This window comes from Homo sapiens, chromosome 1, assembly GCF_000001405.40.
Source record: "Homo sapiens chromosome 1, GRCh38.p14 Primary Assembly".
NCBI lineage: Eukaryota > Metazoa > Chordata > Mammalia > Primates > Hominidae > Homo > Homo sapiens.
Window position 1 is genome coordinate 170,595,060 of NC_000001.11, and position 26,128 is coordinate 170,621,187.

At 37.8% G+C, this 26,128-nt stretch overlaps 1 annotated feature.

Annotated features, from left to right (window-relative positions):
* Positions 23,842–25,041: an enhancer, noted in NCBI's record as "CDK7 strongly-dependent group 2 enhancer chr1:170588042-170589241 (GRCh37/hg19 assembly coordinates)". NCBI's record gives its function as "activates an origin of replication core promoter dependent on BRD2, BRD4, P300/CBP, MED14 and CDK7 cofactors, with strong dependence on CDK7, by STARR-seq in HCT116 cells {active_cell/tissue: HCT116}" and the evidence as "EXISTENCE:reporter gene assay evidence [ECO:0000049][PMID:35650434]".

The window sequence follows — 26,128 nt, forward strand, 5'->3', positions numbered from 1 at the left end:
TCATAGTGGATGATAAATCTGATAGCCACTGATTTAACAAGAATTTTTAGATTTTTCATATGCAACTACTTTCTATGGTTAGAGTATATTTTATAGACAGGAATGCTAGGAAGAGTCCGTTAAACACATTATGCCTGAAGAAGCCTACGTCACACTGGGTACAAGACTTTACTAGGTTGCTGTTGCTGCTGTTGATTAAGATCTACTGACCTAGGCACTTTACAGATGTGAACAGTTCTTACTATAACCCTATGAAATCTACATACTTATTCCCTATTTATAGATGAGGAAACTAGGGCTTAGAGAAATTAGATAATTGCCTGAGTTCCCATAGCTAGTAAGTGGTAGAGTCAGGAATTTAACCCTGGACAGTCTGATCCTGTGCACTGCCTTTGGTTCCAAGTCACTCCATACTCAACATCCTTAATCAAGTTTGCTGAGTCCCAAACAGAGTTCATATAAGGAAAAGATCTCAGGTGATAAACAAATATACATTTTATTGATTATTTTATTTTTTCAACATGTTAGGTCTAGTATCTATTTTAAACCACAACACCAGGTAATTTCCTTTATGAAAACTTCCTGAGTAAACTACCTTATACTCCACTAGATAATTGTATTTATCACCACTTCTTTTCTCAGTGTAATTTTTTTCAACTTTTAAGTTCTATGTATTTTAGTTGATTATATGTGGAATGTCTTCTTAAAGGAAATAATACATTTTTCTTTAAATAAGTTTGTTCTGTGCCTTTAGACAGAAGCTCTAAGATAGAAAGCAGGTGCCATAAGTTCCAGAACTCCAGACAGGTTGGAGTTCAAGTAGAAGCAGGCAAACAGAAAGGATGGTAGGCCAGAACCAGTAGTTAGTCTTCTATGCATTTGATCCAAAAAGAAAAATAGTGAGTAAAGTGGTGGGAGTGACAGAGGCAAGCAAGGTAAGATATAAAATGACCAAGTAAACACATTTCTTAGAATCTAGGCTAGAAAAAGATGTAATGAGGGAAAAGTTATATGTAGGAAAATATTCACAATAGAAAAACTTTAAAAACATTGAAAATGTTCCAAATTGGGAAAATGAGTAACTAAACAATGACTCATAATATGAAATATTATACAATTACTAAAGTGATAATATACTATAAAGTGAATAAATTGTAGCAAATGTCTTTACACTATTATTACTCTAGGTGAAAGGTATATGCAAATGGACAAAGACTGGAAAAGAATGTATAGAACCTTTCAAAGCTGCTCTAACAGGGATATTGGTTAGAAATCCTTTTTCACAATTGTTCAATATTTCCATAGTATTGCTATAAAGCTTTAATTATACAATACAATATATACAATATAGTAAACAATAATATATTTACTATGCATATGCAGGTCTGTGAAGACCAAATACTTTCTTTGTCTAGCTGAGGATATCTTTACTTTGGCTTCCTTTTTGAAGAACAATTTTGCTGGATATAGAATTCTTGGTTAATAGTTATTTTTCTCTTTCAGCACTTTGTTTTTTATTGTTATTATTTTATTTGTATTTTATTTTTGGAGACAGGATCTCATTCTGTTGCCCAGGCAGGAGTGCAGTGATGCAATCTTGGCTCACTGCAGCCTCAACCTCCCGAGCTCAAGTGATCCTCCCACCTCAGCCCCCCAAGTAGCTGGGACTACAGGTGCCCGCCACCATGCCCATCTAATTTTTGCATTTTTTTGTAGAGACAGGGTTTTGCTATGTTGCTCAGACTGGTCTCGAACTCCTCTTTCAGCACTTTGAATATGACATTTCACTGCCTTCAGGCCTCCAATGTTTCTACTGAGAAATGAGTCTTCACTCGTATTGACGCTGCTCTGTACATAATGAGTCACTTTTGCTACTTTCAAGATTTCCTGTTTGTCTTTCAATAGCTTGTATCTATATGGATTTTTAAAATTTATGCTACTTGGAGTTTAATAAGCTTCAATGTTTTTCATCAAATTTGGGAATTTTCTGGCCATTAATTCCTTAAATATATTTTCGGTATCATTATCTCTCTACTGTCCTGCAGGAAATCTTACTGCATATATGTTGGTATGCTTGATCATGCCTCATGTGTTTTTGAGATTGAATATTTTCCTTTAATCATTTTCTTTCTGTTGTTATGGGATAAATTTTATTGATTAATTTTTAGATTCATCAATTTATTTCTTCTGCTATCTCAACTCTGCTGTTAAACCCCTCTAGTGGATTTTTAAATTTTTTCAGTTATACTCTTTAACTCAAAATTTCTCATTTGGTCTTTTTTTTAAGCTTATTGAAAATCTTCATTTGTCAATTCATTGTTGACATACTTTGCTTTAGTTCTTTAAAGATAGTTTACTTAAGTACTCTGAACATATTTATAGCATATTATTTGAAGCATTTGCTTCCTAAATTCAAATTCTGGAGACAGGGCATTCTGAGATAGTTTCTGTTGGTTGCTTATATTTTTCCTGAATGGGTCACACTTTTGTATTTCTTTGTACATATTATCATTGTTTGTAGCAACTCTAGATGCTGATATTTTTGCCCTGAAGGTTGTTGCTGTTGTTCCCTTTTGTTTGTTTATTCTTTGTTTAATAAATTACCCAGGCTAAATTTGTGAAATCTGACTCCCCTATAGTGTGTGGTCACAAATATCTCTGGCCAGTTTAGTTTTTTTGTTTGTTTGTGTGTTTTCTTTTAGTTCTTATTTTGACTTTCAAGACCGAACTCCTAGGGGTTGTCCCTGCACTTGTGTAGCCTCAGGCAATGATTAGACAGAAGTCATGCTCAAATACCTCAAGCCAGTAAGTCTTCTGACCTCTGCAAATTAATCTGTTGGTAAGGGAGCACCTTTAAAATTCAGTATATTTTGAAGTCTGTCCCAGGTTTTACTTTTCACCAAGTCCTTTCTGGCCTCCTAAATGCAGGTACACATTGTCAGGGTCAGCCAGGAGCACATAAATAATTTGGCCCCTCTCCAGTCTTCACGGCACATGTGTAAAGCTAGGAAAAATATTGTGCCAATTATGACTGAAATCTCAAGCCTGTGGAGCCAAGTTATTGGCCCTCCCCTACTGTCCCACATCCCTGAAGTCACTTATTCTGACAATGCCATTGGGGTAGGTACCACCCACTTCTCCAGGCTGCCAGAAAGAGTGCTAGTTCCATGGCTTGCCCATCCCTGGCAGAGCCTTCATGCTCACTGAGCTGGGGGAACAGGATAGGAGGAGCCCCACGCCAGAGTGCTATGAATTCCCACTTTCTTTACCTGAAATTCAGCTTTTTCAAGACTGAACACTTCTCAGATTGTTATATGCCTTTGGCCAATTTCCATAAACCAAAATGGTTGTTTTTGTCAATTTTCTCCAGCTTAGGTTGCTTCTCTCAGAGAGGATTTGTCACTCTCCTCACTTGGCCGTAACTAGAAGTCAATCATATTTACTTTACAAAAAGTCTTAACATTTATTCACATAATTTCCATTATTGATGCTCTTCATCCCTTTATTTAGATCCAGATTTCCATCTGGACTAGTTTCTTGTAATGTGGGTCTGATGGTGATAAATTCTTTCAGATTTTGTGTCTGAAAATGTCTTTATTTCACTTTTGATTTTGAAAGATATTTTGACTGAATAAAGAATTCTGTGTTTGACAGGTTTATTTTTTCCTTTCAGTACAGTCATGCACTGCATAACAATGTTTCAGTCAACAACAGACTGCATATAAGATGGTGGTCCCATAGATTATAATGAAGCTGAAAAACTATCATCTAGTGATGATGTCATAGTGAAACACATTACTCGTGTTTGTGGTGCTGCTGGTGTAAGCAAATCTGCTTTATAAACTTTATAAAGTAAAAAGATTATAGAAAGCTAAGGCTAATTTATTATTGAAGAAAGATAAGTATTTTAAAATACTCACCCAGAGAAACTTCCAGTCCTGCAAGCTTCATTTATGGTAAGTGCTCTCTACAGATGTGCTATTTTAAAAATCTTTTCTCCTGTATTTTTACTGTATCTTTATCTTTTCTCAGTTTGAATATGTTTAGATGCACAAATACTTATCATTGCATTACAGTTGTCTATGGTGTTCAGTACAGTAACATACTGCACAGGTTTGTAGTCTAGGAGCAGTAAGTTATGCCATATAGCCTATGTGTGTAATAGACTATACCATCTAGGTTTGTATAAGTGCACTCTGTGATGTTCACACAATGACAAAACCCCCTAAAAATGCATTTCTCAGATTGTGTCACCATTGTTGAATGATGCATTATTGTAATTTAAAGATGTTGCTCCACTGCCTTTTCACTTTCATTACTTTGATGAAAATGTACTATCATCCTTATGGTTGTTCCTTTGTAGGTAATATGCCTTCTTTGGCTGCTTTAAGATTTTTTTCTATTATTATTTTGAAGAAATTTAAGTATGATAGTTCTTGGTGTAATTTTCTTCATTTGTTTAGCTTTTTGGATCTGTAAGCTTATAGTTTTCATTCAATTTGGAACTGTTTTGGTCATTATTTTGGCATCACAGTGTCCCTCCATATCTGCTGGTTCTACATCTAAGTGTTCAATCAACTGAAGATAAAAAGAACAATAAAAATAATAATACAACAATAAAAAAGAATACAAATGAAAAACAATACAGTATAACAACTATTTGCATAGTATTTACATTGTATTATATTATATATCTAATATATATTGTATTATATTAGTTAATATAATGTAAATTACTTATAATATGGAGATGACTTAAGTGTATGGGAGAATGTGCATAGGTTATATGCAAATACTATGACATTTTATATAAGATACTTGAGAATTCTTAGATTTTTGGTATCTTAGTAGGGATTTCTGAATAGAGAAATCTCCTCGGATACAGAGGGATGACTGTATTCCTTCAGTTTTTTTCTGTCCTCCCTGCCCTTAATACTTTGGGGACTGGAATTATGTGTATATTAGCCTGCTTGAAGTTGTTACACAATTCATTAAAGCTCTGTTTGTCTTTTTTGTTTTAGTATTTTATTTTTCTCTGTGATTTATTTTGGATAGTTTCTATTGCTGTATCTTTAAGTTCACTACCAATCTTTTCCTCTGCAATGTTTAATCTGCCATTAATCCTGTCCATTGTATTTTTCATTTGGGTCATTGTTTTCATCTTTAGAAGTTTAATTTGGTTCTCTTTTATATCTTTCATGTTTCTAATTAACATGTTTAATTTTTCTTCTAGCTTTTTAAACATCTGGAATTCTGTTATAATTGTGTTAATGACCTTGTCTACTAACGCTATTATCTGTGTCATTTATGTGTTAGTTTTGACTAATTGGGTTTTTCAAATACCATATTATCAATCATATGAGTTGCAAGACTGATAATATTTTTTATTGGATGCCAGATATTATGAATTTTACCTCTCTCAGAGCTGAGATTTTTTATTCCTATAAATATTTTTGAGTCTTATTTTAGGACATTGTTAAATTATTTAGAAACAGTTTAACCCTTGAGCTTTATTTTAGGACATTGTTAAATTATTATTATTATTGTTATTGTTATTTTCAAGATAGGGTCTTACTCTGTCACCCAGGCTGGAGTGCAGTGGAGTGATCTTGGCTCACTTCAACCTCCACCTCCTGGGTTCAACTGATTCTCTGCCTCAGCCTCCTGAGTAGCTGGGACTACAGGTGCATGCCACCACTCCTGCCTAATTTTTGTATTTTTAGTAGAGATGGGTGTATTAGTCCGTTTTACACTGCTGATAAAGACATACCAGAGACTTGGCAATTTACAAAAGAAAGAAATTTAATGGACTTTCAGTTCCATGTGGCTGGGGAAGCCTCACACTCATGGTGGGAGGTGAAAAGCCCTGTCTCACACAGCAGCAGATAAGAGAAGTGTTGTGCAGGGAAATTCTCATTTTCAAAATCATTAGATCTCATGAGACTCATTCACCATCACAAGAACAGCACAGGAAAGACCCTCCCCCATAATTCAATCACCTCCCACTGGGTTCCTCTCACGACATGTAGGAATTGTGGGAGTTACAATTCAAGATGAGATTAGGGACACAGTCAAACCATATTGTTTCATCCCTGACCCCTCCCAAATCTCACGTCCTCACATTTCAAAACCAATCATACTTCCCCAACAGTCCCCCAAAGTCTTAACCCAAATTCCACAGTCCAAAGTCTCATCTGAAATAAGGCAAGTCCCTTCCGCCTATGAGCCTGTAAAATCAAAAGCAAGCTAATTACTTCCTAGATACAATGGGGGTACATTGGTTTTGGGTAAATACAGGTATTACAGGTATTGGGTAAATACAGCCATTCCAAATGGGGGAAATTGGCCAAAACAAAGGGGTTACAGGGCCTATGCAAGTCTGAAATCCAGCGGGGCAGTCAAATTTTAAAGCTCCAAAATGATTTCCTTTGACTCCAGGTCTCACATCCAGGTCATGCTGATGCAAGAGGTGGGTTCCCATGGTCTTGGGCAGCTCTGCCTCTGTGGCTTTGCAGGGTACCGCCTCCCTCATAGCTGCTTTCAGGGGCTGGCATTGAGTGCTTGTGGCTTTTCCAGGTGCATGGTGCAAGCTGTCAGTGGATCTACCATTCTGGGGTCTGGAGGATGGTGGCCTTCTTCTCACAGCTCCACTGGGTGGTACTCCAGTAGGGACTGTGCTTGGGGGTTCCAACCCCACATTTCCCTTCTGTGCTGCCCTAGCAGAGGTTCTCCATGAGGAACCTGCTCCTGCAGCAAGCTTCTGCCTGGTCATCCAGGTGTTTCCATACATCTTCTGAACTCTATGAAAAGGTTACCAAACCCCAGTTCTTGACTTGTGTGTACTCACAGGCTCAACACCACATGGAAGCTGCCATGGTTTGGGGCTTGCACCCTCTGAAGCCACAGCCAGAGCTCTATGTTGGACCCTTCAGCCATAGCTGGAGCAGCTTAGATGCAGGACACCAAGTCCCTAGGCTGCACACAGCATGGGGACCCTGGGTCCAACCTGTGAAACCATTTTTTCCTCCTAGGCCTCTGGGCCTGTGTTGGGAGGGGCTGCCATGAAGGTCTCTGACATGGCCTGGAGACATTTCACCATTGTCTTGGGGATTAACATTCGGCTCCTTATTACTTATGCAAATTTCTGCAACTGGCTTGAATTTCTTCTTAGAAAATGCTATTTTATTTTCTATGGCATTGTCAGGCTGCAAATTTTCTGAACTTTTATGGTCTGTTTCCCTTATAAAACTGAATGCCTTTAACAGCACACGAGTAACCTCTTGAATGCATTGCTGCTTAGAAATTTCTTCCACCAGGTACCCCAAATCATCCCGCTCAAGTCCAAAGTCCCACAAATCTCTAGGGAAGGGACAAAATGCCACCAGTCTCTTTGCTAAAACATAACAAGAGTCACCTTTGCTCCAGTTCCCAACAAGTTCCTCATCTCCATCTGAGACCATCTCAGACTGGATTTCATTGTCCATATCATTATCAGCATTTTGATCAAAGCCATTTAACAAGTCTCTAGGGAGTTCCAAACTTTCCCACATTTTCCTGTCTTCTTCTGAGCCATCCAAACTGTTCCAACCTCTGCCTGTTACCCAGTTCCAAAGTTGCTTTCACATTTTCAGTTATCTTTTCAACAACGCCCTACTCTACTGGTACCAATTTACTGTCTTAGTCCATTTTCATGCTGCTGATAAAGACATACCTGAGACTGGGCAATTTACAAAAGAAGGAGATTTAATGGACTTACAGTTCTATATGGCTGGGGAGGCCTCACTATCATGGTAGAAGGTAAAAGGCACATCTCACATGGCAGCAGACAAGAGAAGATCTTGTGCAGGAAAACTCCTGTTTCTAAAACCATTAGATCTCGTGAGACTCGTTCACTATCACAAGAACAGCACAGGAAAGACCCACCCCCATAATCCCATCATCCCCCACCAGGTTCCTCCCACAACACATGGGAATTGTGGGAGTTACAATTCAAGATGAGATTTGGGTGGGGATACAGCCAAACTATGCTATGTTTGCCAGGCTCATCTCAAATTCCTAGGCTCAAGTGATTCACTGGCCTAAGCCTCCCAAAGTGCTGGGATTACATATGTGAGCCATCGTGCCTGGCGAACTATTTAGAAACAGTTTGTTGTTAAGTTTTGTTAGGCTGGAATATAGCAGCATGTAGTCAGAAGGTAATTTTTTCTTATCTTGAGACAAAATCCTTCTGAGTACTCTAACTAAAGCTCCATGATTATTAGGTTTTCCACTCTAGCTTGTGGGACTGCTCCATCTAATCCTTTCCAGTGGGTTTTTCCCTGTCTTGGTTACTTCATCACGTGCATGTGCTGATTAACGTTCAGATTAATACTTGAGAAGAACACTACCCAGACATCTAGAATTCTCGCTGTGTTCAGCTCTTTTCTCTCTGGTTACCCTGCCCTCAAAATCTAGCCATGTTGTTCTCCCTCCAACTCCTAGCTCTGTCTCCTCAACTCAGGAAGACTGCCATACTCCACCTGAATTTCCCCATTTTTGCCCTGGCTGAGCATGTTCTCTGGGCTGTAAGCTAGGATAATTGTAGGGCTCACCTTGTTTGTCTCCCATCTCTCGAGCATCATTTTCCTTCATTGCTTCATATCTGATGTCTCATGAAGCAATGTTTCATGTATTTTCTTTGACTTCTTAGTTGTTTTATGTAGGATGGAAATCTACTTTGACGGGAAGTAGAAGCCTCCATGTCTTTTTTTTTTATTTTTATTTTTTTTATTCGGGATGGAGTCTCGTTCTGTCACCCAAGCTGGAGTGCAGTGGCATGATCTCAGCTCACTGCAAGCTCCACCTCCCGGGTTCATGCCATTCTCCTGCCTCAACTTCCCGAGTAGCTGGGACTACAGGTGCCCACCACCACACTTCGCTATTTTTTTTTTTTTTTTGCATTTTTAGTAGAGACAGGGTTTTGCCATGTTAGCCAGGATGGTCTTGATCTCCTGACCTCGTGATCTGCCCGCCTTGGCCTCCCAAGGTGCTGGGATTACAGGTGTGAGCCACTGCGCCCGGCCAGAAGCCTCCATGTCTTGAACAGCCAAATGTCACAGTGGTCTAAGCTAATAGTTTATTTAACAATGTAGTTAAAAATCTTGCTAGGCTTAATACTTTAAAAATGCAGTAGGCTTCTTATCTGTTTGCTCAGTTCCATGTGCCAGTGACCACATCCTAAATATTTTTGAGGCATAGTTTTCAGATTCGCTTTATTTATTTGCTTTTTCATCCTTTGTCCTTCAGCTTAATAGTAGTTGTCTTGAGGATTTCAGACTTGACAGTGAGAATCTGAATGTGATGACTTTTGCCAACAACGAGGTTTATGGGGCACTTTTCTTTAAAATCTTTTGTTGTTGTTACTATCTCATACTCTTTGAGGTTGACAAGTATTTGCTCCCAAACCTGCATGGCCTCAAATATCTGTTTTCTGTCTGTTCCTTTTCATTTCTGCTTGCAAATCAGCGAATTTTTTCTGAGTTTATAATTTTCTTATAATATTTTGACAAAGCTTGAGCAATAGCTGATATTCACTTCTAATTATTGTCTCTTCTAATCTCTTCTGCTAAGCATATGATCTGTTCTGCTGCCCAAGTTACCACAAGTGACGATTTCACTTTTTTCCCTCACTGAATAACATCAATTTCTTTCTTTCATCTCATGTCAATTTTCTCACTGCCTGTTTCCCACTAATACACAGCATACATTTTAAGCTTTTAGTTTTAGCAACACCTCATTTCAAAAATTAATAGCTGAAGTAGGATAATGTAAGTTCCACAAGAGGAAGATGCTAAAATCTGAAAGACTTAACAAAATAAATTTAATTTTCCTTTGCTAAATTTGATGTGGATCGGCAGTCTTCCTCAAGCTTGTAGCTATGCCATCTGGAATATGTGCCTTTCAGATTGGCCAACGCAGGGGAAGATAGAGATGCAGAAGCACATCATTTCATAACTACATCAGTCATTTTTACTCACAGTCCATTGGCCAGAATTTGTCACATGGCCCCAGTCTAACTACAGAGCTATACCACACTAATAACTTAGTATGGAGCCACTCGCATTTTTCTCTGTGGTCACATCCTTCCGTATATAAATAATATATTCATAAATATATATTTAGAAATATAGCATTTTACCATTGTTTATTTTATAATAATGGAATGAGATTTATACTTTTCTGCTTTCTTTATACCAAACATCTACTGAAAATCTCTCCAAAACAACTGCTAGACTTCTAATTCATTCTTTTTAATGGCTCCACAGTATCCCATTATGTAGTTGTATCATAATTCACTCTATCATTCCTATCCTGAGGTACATTTACTTAACTATTTTATATTATTGCCAGTATCAACAATGCTCCAATATATCTGTTCATACAAAATTCATTTTTTAAAAATTGATGGCTTTCACTTCATGGCACAGATGTCCAGGAGTGGGATTTATTGAGTTAAAATGCGCATGTTTTATAAATTTCTATATTTTGTTAGATTGGTATCCATCTGAAACTATTCACATTTTCACCAGCAATTTATAAAAGAACTCTTGTCTCAATGAACCTGACAACAATTGATGTTTCAACACTTTCTAATTTTTCAGTCTAATGAGGAGTAAAAAGACGTCAGGGAAATGCAAATTAAAGTAAGAACATTTCATATGTTGGTTGCCCATTTGTTTGCCTCTTCACATTCTTTGTTATTGGGCTTCACATCCCATTTTTGCCATTTAGTAAGAGCTTTTGATTATTATAGTTAGTAAATATCTGTTGATCTGCATTGTAAATATATTTCCCAAATCAATTTTGTAAATTATTGGATTTTTTCTTATATATGAAATTTATTTATTATGTAACATACCTAACATTATAATACATAATATAATATATGATTATCTTGCCATTCAAAAAGTTTAAGTTTCATTTGTTCAAAAAAGTCTTTTATGAAGACAAAAATGTTTTTCCTGCCCCTGGATTGTACTTGATTGTATACTAGATTTTCTTGCCATATTTTATTTCTTAAACTTATTTAATGTTTTAATCTGTATGAAAACGATTTTGTATAAAATAGGGTTTAATTTTATTTTTATTCTGATAGGTAGATTTCTATGGCAGCACTATTTACTAAATAATTCATTATTTTCCCTCTTATTTAAATATCAAATTAAGTATTTTCTGGACTTCTCTATTCTGTTCTACTGATCCATTTGTTTCTTCTTATGCCTATGACCATATTAATTTGATTTCCATTTTTAATAGTATACTCACTATCTATCAAAATTTGTTTGACTATTCTCAGAAATGTTTGCTTTCTTATAGACTTTGAAGTCTTTTTATCTGCTTCCTCCAAACCCCTGTAAGGATTGAAATGGAGATTACATTTAAGTAATAGTTTTTGGCAAATTAACATTTTCATTATTTCAGATCTTTCCATAAAAGAACATTGAAAGGCTTTCCGTTTATTACATTTATTTTATATCTAGCAACAGATTTTACATTTTCTTCATATAGAACCTGTTCCTTTAAAAAAATTATCTCCAAGTATTCTATAGTTTCCTCTATGTGTCTTACTTGCTAAAATCTAGCACCGCAATAATGTTCAATGATAACAGAATTTGCACTTACCCCTATCTTGTTCCTAAATTTTATTGAAATTGATTTAGTGTTTTGCCATTTGGGACGACCTTAGATGTTGGGTTTAATAAATTATCTTTTAAAAATTATAAATTACAGCTGTATTATAAAATAACTTTTTAGCAGCTAGTGATATAATTACATGGGTTTTTACTTTCAAATATTTGATATAATGGATTATCTTGATAGATAACAAAATAGTCTTTCATTCCTGCAATGAGACATACCTTTAAAAATATATGTTTGTTCTTTTCATGTATCACAAATTGTATTTGGTAATACTTAATGTTTTTTTTATAGCTACCTGCTGGTGCAATTGGCCTTATTTTTCCTCCCTTTGCAATATTATTGTTAGGCTTTGATATCAAAACTATGCAGGTTTTGTTAAAAAAATTAAAGAATTTTAAAACCTTTTCCTATGACCTGAAATAGTAACACTATCATCGAACTTAACTATTTTTAAATGGTTAGATAAAACTTAGTTATGAATTCATCTGCTCCTGGTACTGTTTGTAATGGTAAATCTTTAATCATTTGACAATCTCATTTATGGTAATTGATCCATGGATGTTTTCCATTTCTTCCTGTGTCATCATTGGTAATTTTATTTTTCTAGGAAATTATTCTTGCTTTGACTTTTTCAAATTTGTTGTTTAGAGTTGTGGGAAATATTATTTTGTAATTATTTTCAGCTTTAATTAGTCTATGATGTCTCCTTTTTAACTTCTGATCATTATCCCTTCTTGCTTTACCTTTTTTGCCCTTAAGCAGTTAGTGAGATAATTTAATTATATTACTATCTTTTTCTTTTTTTAAAATTTATTTTTTGGGGTTCTTATCATTCTTCAAACAATTTTTATTTCTAGAAACAGGGTCTTGCTCTGTTACCCAGACTATAGTTGTGCAGTGGCACAATCTTAGCCTACTGCAGCCTTGAACCCTGCCTCAGCCTCTAGAATAGCTGGGACCATACGTTCCATCGCACCCAGCTAATTTAAGCTTTTTTTATGTGTGTGTGTAGAGATGGGATCTCACAAAAAATTTTGCCCAGGCTAGTCTCAAACTCCTGACATCAAATGATCCTCCCATCTCAGCCTCCCAAGTAGCTGGAATTACAGATGTGCACCATCATGTTTGTCCTCATCTGTTCTTTTAATTTGCAAATTAGGTGTTTATTTAAACAAGGAAAGTCTATTATTTTCCTCTTAATGCTTCATTTCCTTTTGTACCTCCTTCTTCTAGAAGTTCCATAATTCACATTTGGGGTTCCTGCTCTATCCTCTAAGTGTTTTGTATTTGTGTGTGTGTGTTTGTGCATGTGTGTACATGTATAATTCCCATGTCTTTGAGATATTGTGGGGTACGCTGAGATATTACTTTACTTGATATTCTACATCACTAATTTTAGTCTCAGTGGTAACCATCCAATTCATCAACTAATTTACTAAATTACTCAGTTCAGAAATTATGGTTTTAGACACAAGAAGTACTTTGGGCTGCATTTAAATCTTTTTATTTTATTATTATACTTTAAGTTCTGGGATACATGGGCAGAACGTGCAGGTTTGTTACACAGGTATACATGTGCCATGGTGGATTGCTGCAGCTATCAACCCATCATCTACGTTAGGTATTTCTCTTAATGCTATCCCTCCCCTTGCCCCAAACCCCCTGACAGGCCCCAGTGTGTGATGTTCCCCTCTCTGTGCCCATATATTCTCATTGTTCAACTCCCACTTATGAGTCAGGACATGTGGTGTTTGGTTTTCTGCTCCTGTGTTAGGTGCTGAGAATGATGGTTTCCAGCTTCATTCATGTCCCTGAAAAGGACATGAACTCATTCTTTTTTATGGTTGCATAGTATCCCATGGTGTATATGTGCCCATTTTCTTTATCCAGCCTATCATTGATGGGCATTTGGGTTGGTTACAAGTCTTTGCTATTGTGAATAGTGCTGCAATAAACATACGTGTGGATGTGCCTTTATAGTAGAATGATTTATACCTTTGGGTATATACCCAGTAATGGGATTGCTGGGTCAAATGGTATTTCTGGTTCTAGATCCTTGAGGAATTGACACACTGTCTTCCACAATGCTTGAACTAATTTACACTACCACTAACAGTGTAAAAGCGTTCCTATTTCTTCAAATCCTCTCCAGCATCTGTTGTTTCCTGGCTTTTTAATGATCGCCATTGTAACTGGCATGAGATGGTATCTCATTGTGGTTTTGATTTGCATTTCTCTAATGACCAGTGATGATGAACTTTTTTTCATATGTTTGTTGGCCACATAAATGTCTTCTTTTGAGAAGTGTCTGTTCATATCCTTTGCCCGCTTTTTGATGGGGTTGTTTTTTTCTTGTAAATTTGTTGAAGTTCCTGGTAGATTCTGGATGTTGGCCCTTTGTCAGATGGATTGATTGCAAAAATTTTCTCCCGTTCTGTAGGTTGCCTGTTCACTCTGATGATCATTTCTTTTGCTGTGCAAAAGTTCTTTAGTGTAATTAGATCCCATTTGTCAATATTGGCTTTTGTTGCCATTGCCTTTGGTGTTTTAGTCATGAAGTATTTGCCCATGCCTATGTTGTGAATGGTATTATCTAGGTTTTCTTCTAGGGTTTTTATGGTTTTAGGTCTTACATTTAAGTCTTTAATCCACCTTGAGTTAATTTTTGTGTAAGGTGTAAGGAAGGGGTCCAATTTCAGTTTTCAGCGTATGGCTAGCCAGTTTTCCCAGCACCATTTATTAAATAAGGAATTCTTTCCCCCTTGCTTGTTTTTGTCAAATCTGTCAAAGATCTGATGGTTGTAGATGTGTGGCATTATTTCTGAGGCCTCTGTTCTGTTCCATTGGTCTATATATCTGTTTTGGTACCAGTAACATGCTGTTTTGGTTACTGTGGCCTTGCAGTATAGTTTGATGTCAGGTAGCGTGATGCCTCCAGCTTTGTTCTTTTTGCTTAGGATTGTCTTGGCTATACAGGCTCTTTTTTGCTTCCATATGAAATTTAAAGTAGATTTTTCTAATTCTGTGAAGAAAGTGAATGGTAGTTTGATGGGAATAACATGAATCTATAAATTACTTTGGGCATTATGGCCATTTTCATGATATTGATTCTTCCTATCCATGAGCCTGGAATGTTTTTCCATTTGTTTGTGTCCTCTCTTATTTTCTTGAGTAGTGGTTTGTAGTTCTTCTTGAAGAGGTCCTTCACATCCCTTGTGGGTCGTATTCCTAGGTATTTCATTTTCTTTGTAGTGATTATAAATGGGAAGTCAGTCATGATTTGGTGCTCTGTTTGTCTATTACTGGTATATAGGAATGCTTGTGATTTTTGCATATTGACTTTATATCCTGAGAGTAGGGAGTTTTGGGGCTGAGGTGATAGGGTTTCCTAAATATACAATCATGTCATCTGCAAACAGAGACAATTTGACTTCCTCTCTTCCTATTTGAATACCCTCCATTTCCTTCTCTTACCTGATTGCCCTGGCCAGAAATTCTAATACTATGTTGAATAGGAGTGCTGAGAGAGGGCATCCTTGTCTTGTGCCAGTTTTCAAAGGAAATGCTTCCAGCTTTTGCCCATTCAGTATGATATTGGCTGTGGGTTTGTCATAAACAGCTCTTATTATTTTGAGATATGTTCCAGCAATACCTAGTTTATTGAGTGTTTTTAGCATGAAAGGGTGTTGAATTTTATCAAAGGGCTCTCCTGCACCTATTGAATAATCATGTGGTTTCTGTCATTGGTTCTGTTTATGTGATGGATTACATTTGTTGATTTGCTTATATTGAACCAGCCTTGCATTCACAAGATGAAGCTGACTTGATGGTGCAGGATAAGCTTTTTGATGTGCTGCTAGATTCAGTTTGCCAGTATTTTATTGAGGATTTTTGCATCGATGTTCATCAGGGATATTGGCCTGAAATTTTCTTTGTTTGTTGTGTCTTTGCCAGGTTTTGGTATCAGGATGATGCTGGCCTCATAAAATGAGTTAGAGAGGAGTCCCTCTTTTTCTATTGTTTGGAATAGTTTCAAAAGGAATGGTACCAGCTCCTCATTGTACCTCTGGTAGAATTCAGTTGTGAATCCATCTGTACCTAAGCGTATTTTCGTTGATAGGCTATCAATTACTGCCTCAATTTCAGAACTTGTTATTGGTCTATTCAGGGATTCATCTTCTTCCTGATTTAGTCTTTGGAGGGTAGATGTGTCCAGGAAATTATCCATTTCTTCTGCATTTTCTAGTTTATTTGTGTAGAAGTATTTATAGTATTCTCTGATGGTAGTTTGTATTTCTGTGGGATCAGTGGTGATATCCCCTTTATCATTTTTTACTGTGTCTATTTGATTATTCTGTCTTTTCTTCCTTATTGGTCTGGCTAGCAGTCTGTCTATTTTGTTAGTCTTGTCAAAAAACCAGCTCCTGGAATCATTGATTTTTGGAAGGGTTTTTCGTGTCTCTATCTCCTTCAGTTCTGCTCTGATCTTAGTTATTTCTTGTCTTCTGCTATCTTTTGAATTTGTTAGCTCTTGCTTCCGTAGTTCTTATAATTGTCATGTTAGGGTGTCGAGTTTAGATCTTTCTCACTTTCTCCCATGAGAATTTAGTTCTATAAATTTGCCTTTAAACACTGCTTTAGCTGTGTTTCAGAGATTCTGGTATGTTGTGTCTTTGTTCTCATTGGTTTCAAAGAACGTATTTATTTCTGCCTTAATTTCTTTATTTACCCAATAGTCATTCGGGAGCAGGTTGTTCAGTTTCCATGTCGTTGTGCGGTTTTGAGTGAGTTTCTTAATCCTGATTTCTAATTTGATGGCACTGTGGTCTGAGAGACTGTTATGATTTCTGTTCTTTTGCATTTGCTGAGGAGTGTTTTACTTCCAATTATGTGGTCGATTTTGGAATAAGTGGTATCTGGTGTTGAGAGGAATGTATATTCTGCTGATTTGGGGTGGAGAGTTCTGTAGATGTCTATTTGTCCACTTGGTCCAGAGCTGAGTTCAAGTCCTGAATATCCTTGTTAATTTTCTGTCTCATTGATCTGTCTAGTATAGACAGTGGGGTGTTAAAGTCTCCCACTTTTATTGTGTTGGAGTTTTTATAGGTGTCTAAGAACTTGCTTTATGGATCTGGGTGCTCCTGTATTGGGTGCACATATATTTAGGATAGTTAGCTCTTCTTTTTACATTGATCCCTTTACCATTATGTAATGCCCTTCTTTGTCTTTTTTGATCTTTGTTGGTTTAAAGTCTGTTTTATCAGAGACTAGGATTGCAACCCTTGCTTTTTTTTTATTTTTTGCTTTCTCTTTGCTTGGTAAATATTCCTCCATCCCTTTATTCCGAGCCTATGTGTGTCTTTGCACGTGAGATGGGTCTCCGGAATACAGAACACTGATGGGTCTTGACTGTTTATCCAATTTGTCAGTCTGTGTTTTTTTTTATTTTGTTATTGTTGTTTTGTTTTGTTTTTTGAGATGAAGTCTTGCTCTGTCACCCAGGCTGGAGTGCAGTGGCACGATCTTGGCTCACTGCAACCTCCACCACCTGGGTTCAAGCAATTATCCAGTCTCAGCCTCCTGAGTAGCTCGGATTATAGGCGCCAACCACCACCCCTGGCTAATTTTTTGTGCTTTTACTAGATATGGGGTTTTGCCATGTTGGGCAGGCTGGTATCGAACTCCTGACCTCCGATGATCCACCCACCTTGGCCTCCCAAAGTACTGGGATTACAGGTATGAGCCACTGCACCCGGCCCAGTCTGTGTCTTAATTGGGGCATTTACATTTAAGGTTAATATTGTTATGTGTGAATTTGATCCTGTCATTATGATGCTAGCTGGTTATTTTGCTCATTAGTTGATGCAGTTTCTTCATTTTGTCAATGGTCCCTACATTTTGATATGTTTTTGCAATGGCTGGTAACAGTTTTTACTTTCCATATTTAGTGCTTCCTTTAGGAGCTCTTGTAAGGCAGGCCTGGTAGGTTACAAAATCTCTCAGCATTTGCTCATCTCTAAGGATTTTATTTCTCCTTCCCTTATGAAGCTTAGTTTGGCTGGATATGAAATTCTTGGTTGAAAATTCTTTTCTTTAAGAATGTTGAATATTGGCCCCCCTCTCTTCTGGCTTGTAGGGTTTCTGCAGATTGATCTGCTGTTAGTCTGATGAGCTTCCCTTTGTGGGTAACCCGACTTTTCTCTCTGGCTGCCCTTAATATTTTTTCCTTCATTTCAACCTTGGTGAATCTGACCACTATGTGTCTTGGTGTTGCTCTTCTTGAGGAGTATCTTAGTGGTGTTCTCTGTATTTGCTGAATTTGAATGTTGGCCTGTCTTGCTATGTTGGGGAAGTTCTCCTGGATAATATCCTGAAGTGTGTTTTCCAACTTGGTTCCATTCTCCCCTTCACTTTCAAGTACACCAATCAAACAAAAGTTTGGTCCTTTCACATACTCCCATATTTCTTGGAGGCTTTGTTCCTTCCTTTTCATTCTTTTTTCTCTAATCTTGTCCTCACAATTTATTTCATTAAGTTGATCTTCAATCTCTGATATCCTTTCTTCTGCCTGATCATTTCAGGTATTGATAGTTGTATATGCTTCCCGAAGTTCTCACGCTGTGTTTTTCATCTCTATCAGGTAATTTATGTTCTTCTCTAAACTGGTTATTCTAGTTAGCAGTTCCTGTAACCTTATATCCAGGTTCTTAGCTTTCTTGCATTGGGTTAGAACATGCTTTATTAGCTCAGAAGAGTGTGTTATTACCCACCTTCTGAAGCCCACTTCTGTCATTTCATCAAACTCATTCTCGGTCCAGTTTTGTTCCTTTGCTGGCAAGAAGTTGTGATTCTTTGAAGGAGAAGAGGCATTCTGGTTTTTGGAATTTTGAGCCTTTTTGTGCTGGATTTTCCTCATCTTCATGGATTTATCTACCTTTGGTCTTTGATGTTGCTGACTTTTGGATGGGGTTTTTGTGTGGGCATCCTTTTTGTTGATGTTGGTGCTATTGCTTTCTGTTTGTTAGTTTTCCTTCTAACAGGTCCCTCTTCTGCAGGTCTGCTGGAGTTTGCTGGAGGTCCACTCCAGACCCTGTTTCACTTGGTATCACCAGCAGAGGCTGCAAAACAGCAAAGATTGCTGCCTTCTCCTTCCTCTGGAAGCTTCATCCCAGAGGGTCACCCACCAGATGCCAGCCAGTGCTCCTCTGTATGAAGTGTTTGTCAACCCCTGCTGAGAGTCATCTCCCAGTCAGGAGGCATGGGGGTCAGGGACCCACTTGAGGAGGCAGTCTATCTCTTAGCAGAGCTCAAGGGCTGTTTTGGGAGATCCACTGCTCTCTTCAGAGCTGGAAGTCGGGAACGTTTAAGTCTGCTGAAGCTGCACCCACAGCCACCCCTTCTCCCATGTGCTCTGTCCCAAGGAAATGGGAGTTTTATGTATAATGCCCTGACTAGGGCTGCTGCCTTTCTTTTGGAGATGCTCTGCCCAGAGAAGAGGAATCTAGAGAGGCAGTGTGGTTACAGTGGCTTTGCTTAGCTGCAGTGGGTTCTACACCCAGTTTGAATTTCCTGGTGGCTTTGTTTACACTATTAGGGGAAAACCACCTACTCAAGCCTCAGTAATGATGGACGACCCTCCCCCCACCAAGCTTGAGCATCCCAGGTCAATTTCAGATTGCTGTGCTGGCAGCGAGAATTTCAAGCCAGTGGATCTTAGCTTACTGGGCTCCATGGGGTTGGGATCTGCTGAGCAAGACCACTTGGCTCCCTGGCTTCAGCCCCCTTTCCAGGGGAGTGAACGGTTCTGTCTCACTGGTGTTCCAGGCACCACTGGGGTATGAAAAAACTCCTGCAGCCATCTCAGTGTCTGTCCAAACGGCCACCCAGCTTTGTGCTTGAAACCCAGGGCGCTGGTGGTATAGACACCCAAGGGAATCTTCTGGTCTATGGGTTGTGAAGACTGTGGGAAAAGAGTAGTATCTGGGCAAGATAGCACCATCCTTCACTGCACAGTCCCTCACAGCTTCCCTTGGCTAGGGGAAGGAGTTCCCCAACCCCTTGCACTTCCCCGGTGAGGCGACGCCCCACCCTGCTTCTGCTTGCCCTCTGTGGGATGCATCCACTGTCTAACCAGTCCCAATGAGATGAACTGGGTATCTCAGTTGGAAATGCAGAAATCACCCACCTTCTCTATTAGTCTTGCTGGGATCTGTAGACTGGAGCTGTTCCTATTCAGCCATCTTTGATAAAGAGGGGGCTGCATTTAAATCTATGTGTCTCCTTCAGCAGCTATGTGGAGTGTGCTATGCATTATGACCTGTCTTCTTCTCATGAGCTGATAGGCTCTCCTCAATTGATTATTTTTCATCACAAGTAAACTAGTTATTTAAATATTTCAATTTACTATAAGCCTACCCTATAGTAGAAGGTGAAGCAACCTTTACAAATAAAGGGCTGGCCCTTGTTGAAGTACCATGTGAAAACCCTCCTGCTGTGAGCTATTCTTTTCCAGTCCTGGGGACAATGAAAGTTCAACCTGCTTTGGTCCTCAGTTCTTTAAGGTCAGAAAACCAGGCACCTTCAATGGAATGAATGCCAATCTTCTTCCAAGGATCTATGCTGTTTTAGAAACAGAAACTCTTTTTCAAGATCCGCAGTCTTATAATCTTCACCTTGAGGATCTCTGTTTGATCTCCAGGTTCTCCCAGACTACACAGAGAAAAAAAAATCCCTATATAAGTTTTCTCCTTTGAGTCCAAAGTCCAAAACTCCTTTGAGTTTTGCCAGCATGAGAGTGTATCAATCAGCTTTAGTGGTCTTGAAGCTCAGAAAGCAGAATAGACCACGGTTGAAAGAAGAGGGAAAACAAGCTACATTCAAGTTACCAGTTTGCTAGAAACTTCCTACTATATTTGTAGAAATTATTGAAATTGAGAGGACACAGTAAGAGAGTGATGGGCACTGTGACATAGTGGGGCACTCCATCCAATTATTGCCAAGTGGGAAGGAAGACCTTGTGTTGCTACATCTCTCCATTTTTTTCAAGAAAAATCATAAATCTGGAATTTTATTTAATATCTTTTCTTTTCAAAATATTGAAGATTTGTGGAATTGTTTTTGCAAATACTGTGTGAACCAAACCAAACTTGTCTTTAGATTGGATTCAGCCTGCAGCATCCTAGGTTAGGATCTCTAGAGTAGATGGTATTTTGGATAATAGATGGACATCTCTAACTTTTAAATTCTGTATTGATATGGTTTGGCTCTGTATCCCCGCCCAGACCTCATCTTGTAGCTCCCATAATTCCCACATGTTGTGGGCAGGACCTGGTGGAAGATGATTGAATCATGGGGGTGGGTCTTTCCCATGCTGTTCTCACGATAGTGAATGGGTCTCATGAGATCTCATGGTTTTAAAAATGGGAGTTTCTCTGCACCAGCTCTATTTTGCCTGCTGCCATCTACGTAAGATGAGACTTGCTCCTCCTTGCCTTCCACCATGATTGTGAGGCCTCCCCAGCCATGTGGAACTGTAAGTCCAATAACCTTTTTTTTTTTTTCTAAATTGCCCAGTCTTGAGTATGTCTTTATCAGCAGCATTAAAATGAACTAATACACATATGATGGAAGGCAACTGTCATGCTTTCTCCTTAGGCAAGTTCCTTGGAAACAGAGGCATGTCCTCTACTTAGTTTTTTATTGCCAAATGTTCCAAGTATAGCAGAAAGTAGACACAGGACGTTTCGTAGGTGTTTGTGGAATGAAGAAAGGCAATGCTTGGTGCCAGTGTCAGAGACTAATAGGTGACTGGTCTGACTTTTGTGAATATAAACAGTACTGCAGTAAAGGAAGCTACTAATGTGGCAACTGAAAGTGTGAAGAGAGATGAGATATAGTGTCATGAACAAAAAAATTCCCTGAAATTGATTTCAATTAAGGTAAGCAGAATATGAAAGTATGTGCCTTCTGCAAAACCAGAATATTTTCAAAACTTTCAGCTGTCCAACTTACCTGTGGCACGGAGCTAGCTGAACGATGAATCCTGCTTAATGAGGAATACAAGAAGTTTTGTCCCAACCATGAGGATTTGAAGATTTTATAGTATGACAACCACCTGTATGCAAAGCTTTGTCTCCTGTGGTATAACCTGAAGATGAACTCAAAACCATGAATTTTCATTTTTTTCCTATTTGCCATGCTTCTCAAAGAGTCTCTTGTAGGGAAAGGAAAACAATGAAATCATTATCCTATATTTTGCAAGCACAGAGTCTGAATACTATAATAGTGAAGAAATGATTGCCTGGAATAACAACTCAAATGTGATTTCAAAATATGAGAGAGAAAGGCCAAAAACAGAATTTGAATTGCAAGCCTACTTAATTGTTGATTGGGCTCTAATGGTCTGTTCACTGTACTACTGCCTATATGAACATGAGCCCTATTCCTAATTACAACCCATTTTTGTTGTTGTTATCTAGATGACATCAAGATGTGTGGGATTAAACAGACAGTGCCATGCATACTGTGTAATGATTGTAGCAAAATGCCATGTTTTCTCAAGACCGTGGAGAGAGAGTGATTTCCTCAGTCAAAATATCAATGGCTAGACTTTCAAGGCTGCTACCATTATACTGTTGTCATTCTGGAAACAACAACAACAACAAAATATCACTCTATTGAGTCAACAGACTGTCTTGAGCTTATCTTCAAACTCATATTATTTTACTCTGTAATTTCAAAATTTTTATTAAGTTTCTCTCTGGGAGAGTTTGAAACATGAGTTTTAAAACAGATTATTATTAACATCAGACTACTGAGTTCACTTATAGGAATATAGAGAAATAACACTACACATTTATATATAATCTGTCTACTTTCAAAGAAAGGATTTGAAGTAGGCTCTTCAGAGTAAATGAGCTAAATACAATCAGCTTTTTCTGTCTGGAAATTCAAGAATCTAACGAGTGCACCCAAAGAATGGCAAACATAGCATTTTCTTCAGGACTGTCACAGTGCCCTGCTTCCAAAGGATACGACACGCAAAGAGTTCACAGCTGTGCTGTCATCGCAAGTTTAAATTTAACACTGGTGATATCATAACCATGGAATATAATTTTTTAAAAATATCACAGCTGAATTTTTAGATTACTTAGTATCATTAAGAAGTGAGCTCCACCAGGCTTGATAGAGACTACTGACATTTAAGAGCATACAATGAAGGAAATTTATTTAAAAATCAGCTGTGTCACATACTGTGTTAAGACTTTCATACCTATGATCTCACTTAGCCTCACAACAACCCCGTGAGCTAAGTAGCATTATTCTTATTCTGTACACTAGCAACTTAAGATTTGAAGAGGTTAAATACCTTCTCCAGGATCACACAGATGGTAAATGACTGAACAAGGAGACTCACCCAAGTCTTCCTGATTCCAAAGCATGTGCTCTTTCCATTACACACGGAATGTTGGGAATTCAGATTATATTTCGTTTTGGCCTAGGTTAGAGACCTGCTCTGGACATTTCTCAGGAGTCAAATAAAATAGAGGCTAATGAAAACAGCAAATTCATCTCCTAACAAAGGCTAACACACCTCAGTAGCAAAGGACAGGGTCTCACTAATGGAATAAAAATTATGACATGACCAAATACTCTGTTCTCAGCCATTCCTTCTCATAGATGCAGTGATCTCTTAAAGTCCACCGCAAGTGTTCCTTCCTATGTCCTTTTTTTAAAAATAAAATTATTTCTCTGGGAGACAGGAAAGAATCATATATGAGATAAATTCACACTCAAGTGCTTAGTGACTAATCTTTCTTTCTAAGAAGAAAGGCAGTCAACACATTTTTGGTGTGTGAAGATGATGTGGCTGAAAGCAGAATGGAAATCTGGAAAGGAAATGAAAGAACACTCTGTCTTTTTCACTTTCTGCTTAGGTCAAGTCCTAGACACAGTACTTGGAAAAAGAAGAGAAAAGGAGATTCTGGTGTTGTTTTTTTCTTGAGTAGTCTGGAAACTTGCAATGGGTCAAATTTGCAGTCATGTTCTTGATTTGAAAGATATCTACCTGAAGATAATCGTAGTTTTAAACATTTTATTTTAAATGTTTTAATTTAAATGTTATTTTAATGTTAAAGCATTGGCATCAAGGTTTTTTCTAAATCCTTTGCTTTTACAATTTTAGTGGTACTATACATGAAAGAAACACTTTGAAAACTTAGGAGATTTCGTCCTTTCATACTTGCGAATTTGACTTTTGAACTATCATTAAGTCTGAAGTCCAAATTATGGAGTTGACTAAGACTGATACTAGATAAAAAAGTGTGCAAAACCATGGGATTAAAAAACCTAGTGAGTTTTTCTGTGTCATTGACGTTCCTGCTTAACTGAGTATTGGAGAGTATTACATAATTAAACATAGGATGTACCACAGATCTTAAAAGTCAATAACAAGATTCCAAGCACTGTCCATAGTTGGTAAAACACAAAGTTCCACTTTAAAACAACATTTTTCAAAGCCTCTCAGAAATTAGTCTGCTCTCAGGAAGTCCTGCCGAGGGCCGTCACAATGAGACAAGCTTATGGAGCTGGCAGCCATCTTGTGCAGTGAGAGACGAAGTGTCTGGCTCTGAGCCAAGGAAAGCCAAAGTGATCAATATTACATCCTGAAAGCACCAATGGATCCTTTGTCCCAGAACTAGCGCTTCTGGGAGATGTGCCAGAAGATTCACATGTGCACATATGTGCACACACAGTAACATGATGATTCAGGAAATTCAGTCATATGGGAAGATCAAAAGCACAGCAGGATATTCCTGTGACTCTGGCATTGGTCAGCAATACTTCAACCTCCACATCCAAATATGAAGGCAGCTTAAAGAGCCTGCAGATGGAAGACAAACAGAAACTTGAAAAAATGTACTAAGACGGCTTATTTTTCTCCTGTTGTCCTTACACCTACCGTGAATACTCTGGTGCCTTGCCAGTCACTCCTGCACCACTTTGAAGTTTGAGTCTGTCCCTGAATCCTACAGAGTGGATGCCAGCCTGGCCTGATCTCACCTCTTTAAGCCTTCTGCCTCCAGCATGCTCACAAGTGTTTGGAACATGTATTGGGGATAGAGGGGAATATGATCCCAGACCCAGGTCCAGAGGGCTACTAGAACATGTCATGTGTCTGGCATTGAACAAGATCACATTGCCAATTTAAAACCATCGAAGTGATCTCAGTTTTCTTGGGAAAGAAAAAAGAAAGACCATGTGCCTGATGAAAGAACAATGAAAATATAACTTACACACATAAATATCATCTGCCTGAAAATCCAGGCCATATTTGGGATCAGAAAAATATATTTTAAGTGGATAGTATTAACAGAAGGGCTTAATCAGGCACTCTTGCTACTGTTGTCTTTATGGATAAATTTTAAGGACAGGTGGAGTCAGGCAGGAAGTAAATATTCAATTTAGAACATTTTCCTACATTTAATATCTGCCTCTCTCATCATGTTTGCAATTTTTACAGTCTTTGTTATGAATAGCTTCTCATCACATTTCTAAGAGGGAGATCATCATAATTACAACCTTATGTTATGGCAGAGCAGAAAGAAGTGACTTGGCAAAGGTCATGTGGCAATACAATGTCCTAGACAGGAAGGGAACTGATATATCTGGAAACTATTGTGAGTTGTGCATTCCAGTGTGCATGGCAGAAAGCAAGGCTCAAGTTGCTGCAGCCAAAGCTTAGAGCTTTTTCTGAAGCATGAGTGCTTGGTATAGGTATCACCAAAAAGAAAAAGAAATTAAACTTTAGTAGTATTAACTTGAGCAAAATCCCACTGGAGAAATTTCCAAATTACTGTTACTATTATGGGTATTAGGAGTAAGACAGAGAAAGGATAAACTGCCCTTTAATAATAGAATATTTGATTTGGCATTTAAATGGTTACAAAATCTACTCTTTGGCAACAATTTACCCTGTGCAAAAGTGTTATATTAATTCAGGTAAGGATGGTACCTCCTTCATGAGACTCTCCAGGGGTTCTCTGTGTTCTTGTATGGTCCACGTGGCTATATAATCAGCCAACACATATCCTAGGATGCTGCTTTGCAGTAGGAATTAGATGCTTAAATAATTTTAGAAATGAAATATCATGAAGTCTATAATTTCTACACAATGAATGAGTCATTTGCAGATCCTTATAGTTATTCTTTTCCCACCAAAAAGTTCAAGAATAAAAATCCCCTATCTCCCACCATAACATCAACAAGAATAAGATTGAAAACTCAGAAGAGAGAAACAAAGAGATTCATAGTTAGTATTTTTTCAGAAAATACATGTTTCCCAGTAAGCAAATCTCCTTATAAATATAATTGATTAAAAATGAAAAAAAAAACTCTGAATTTACTGTATGAACTTTGGAATATTTAAAATGGAGAAACCAAGAATTTT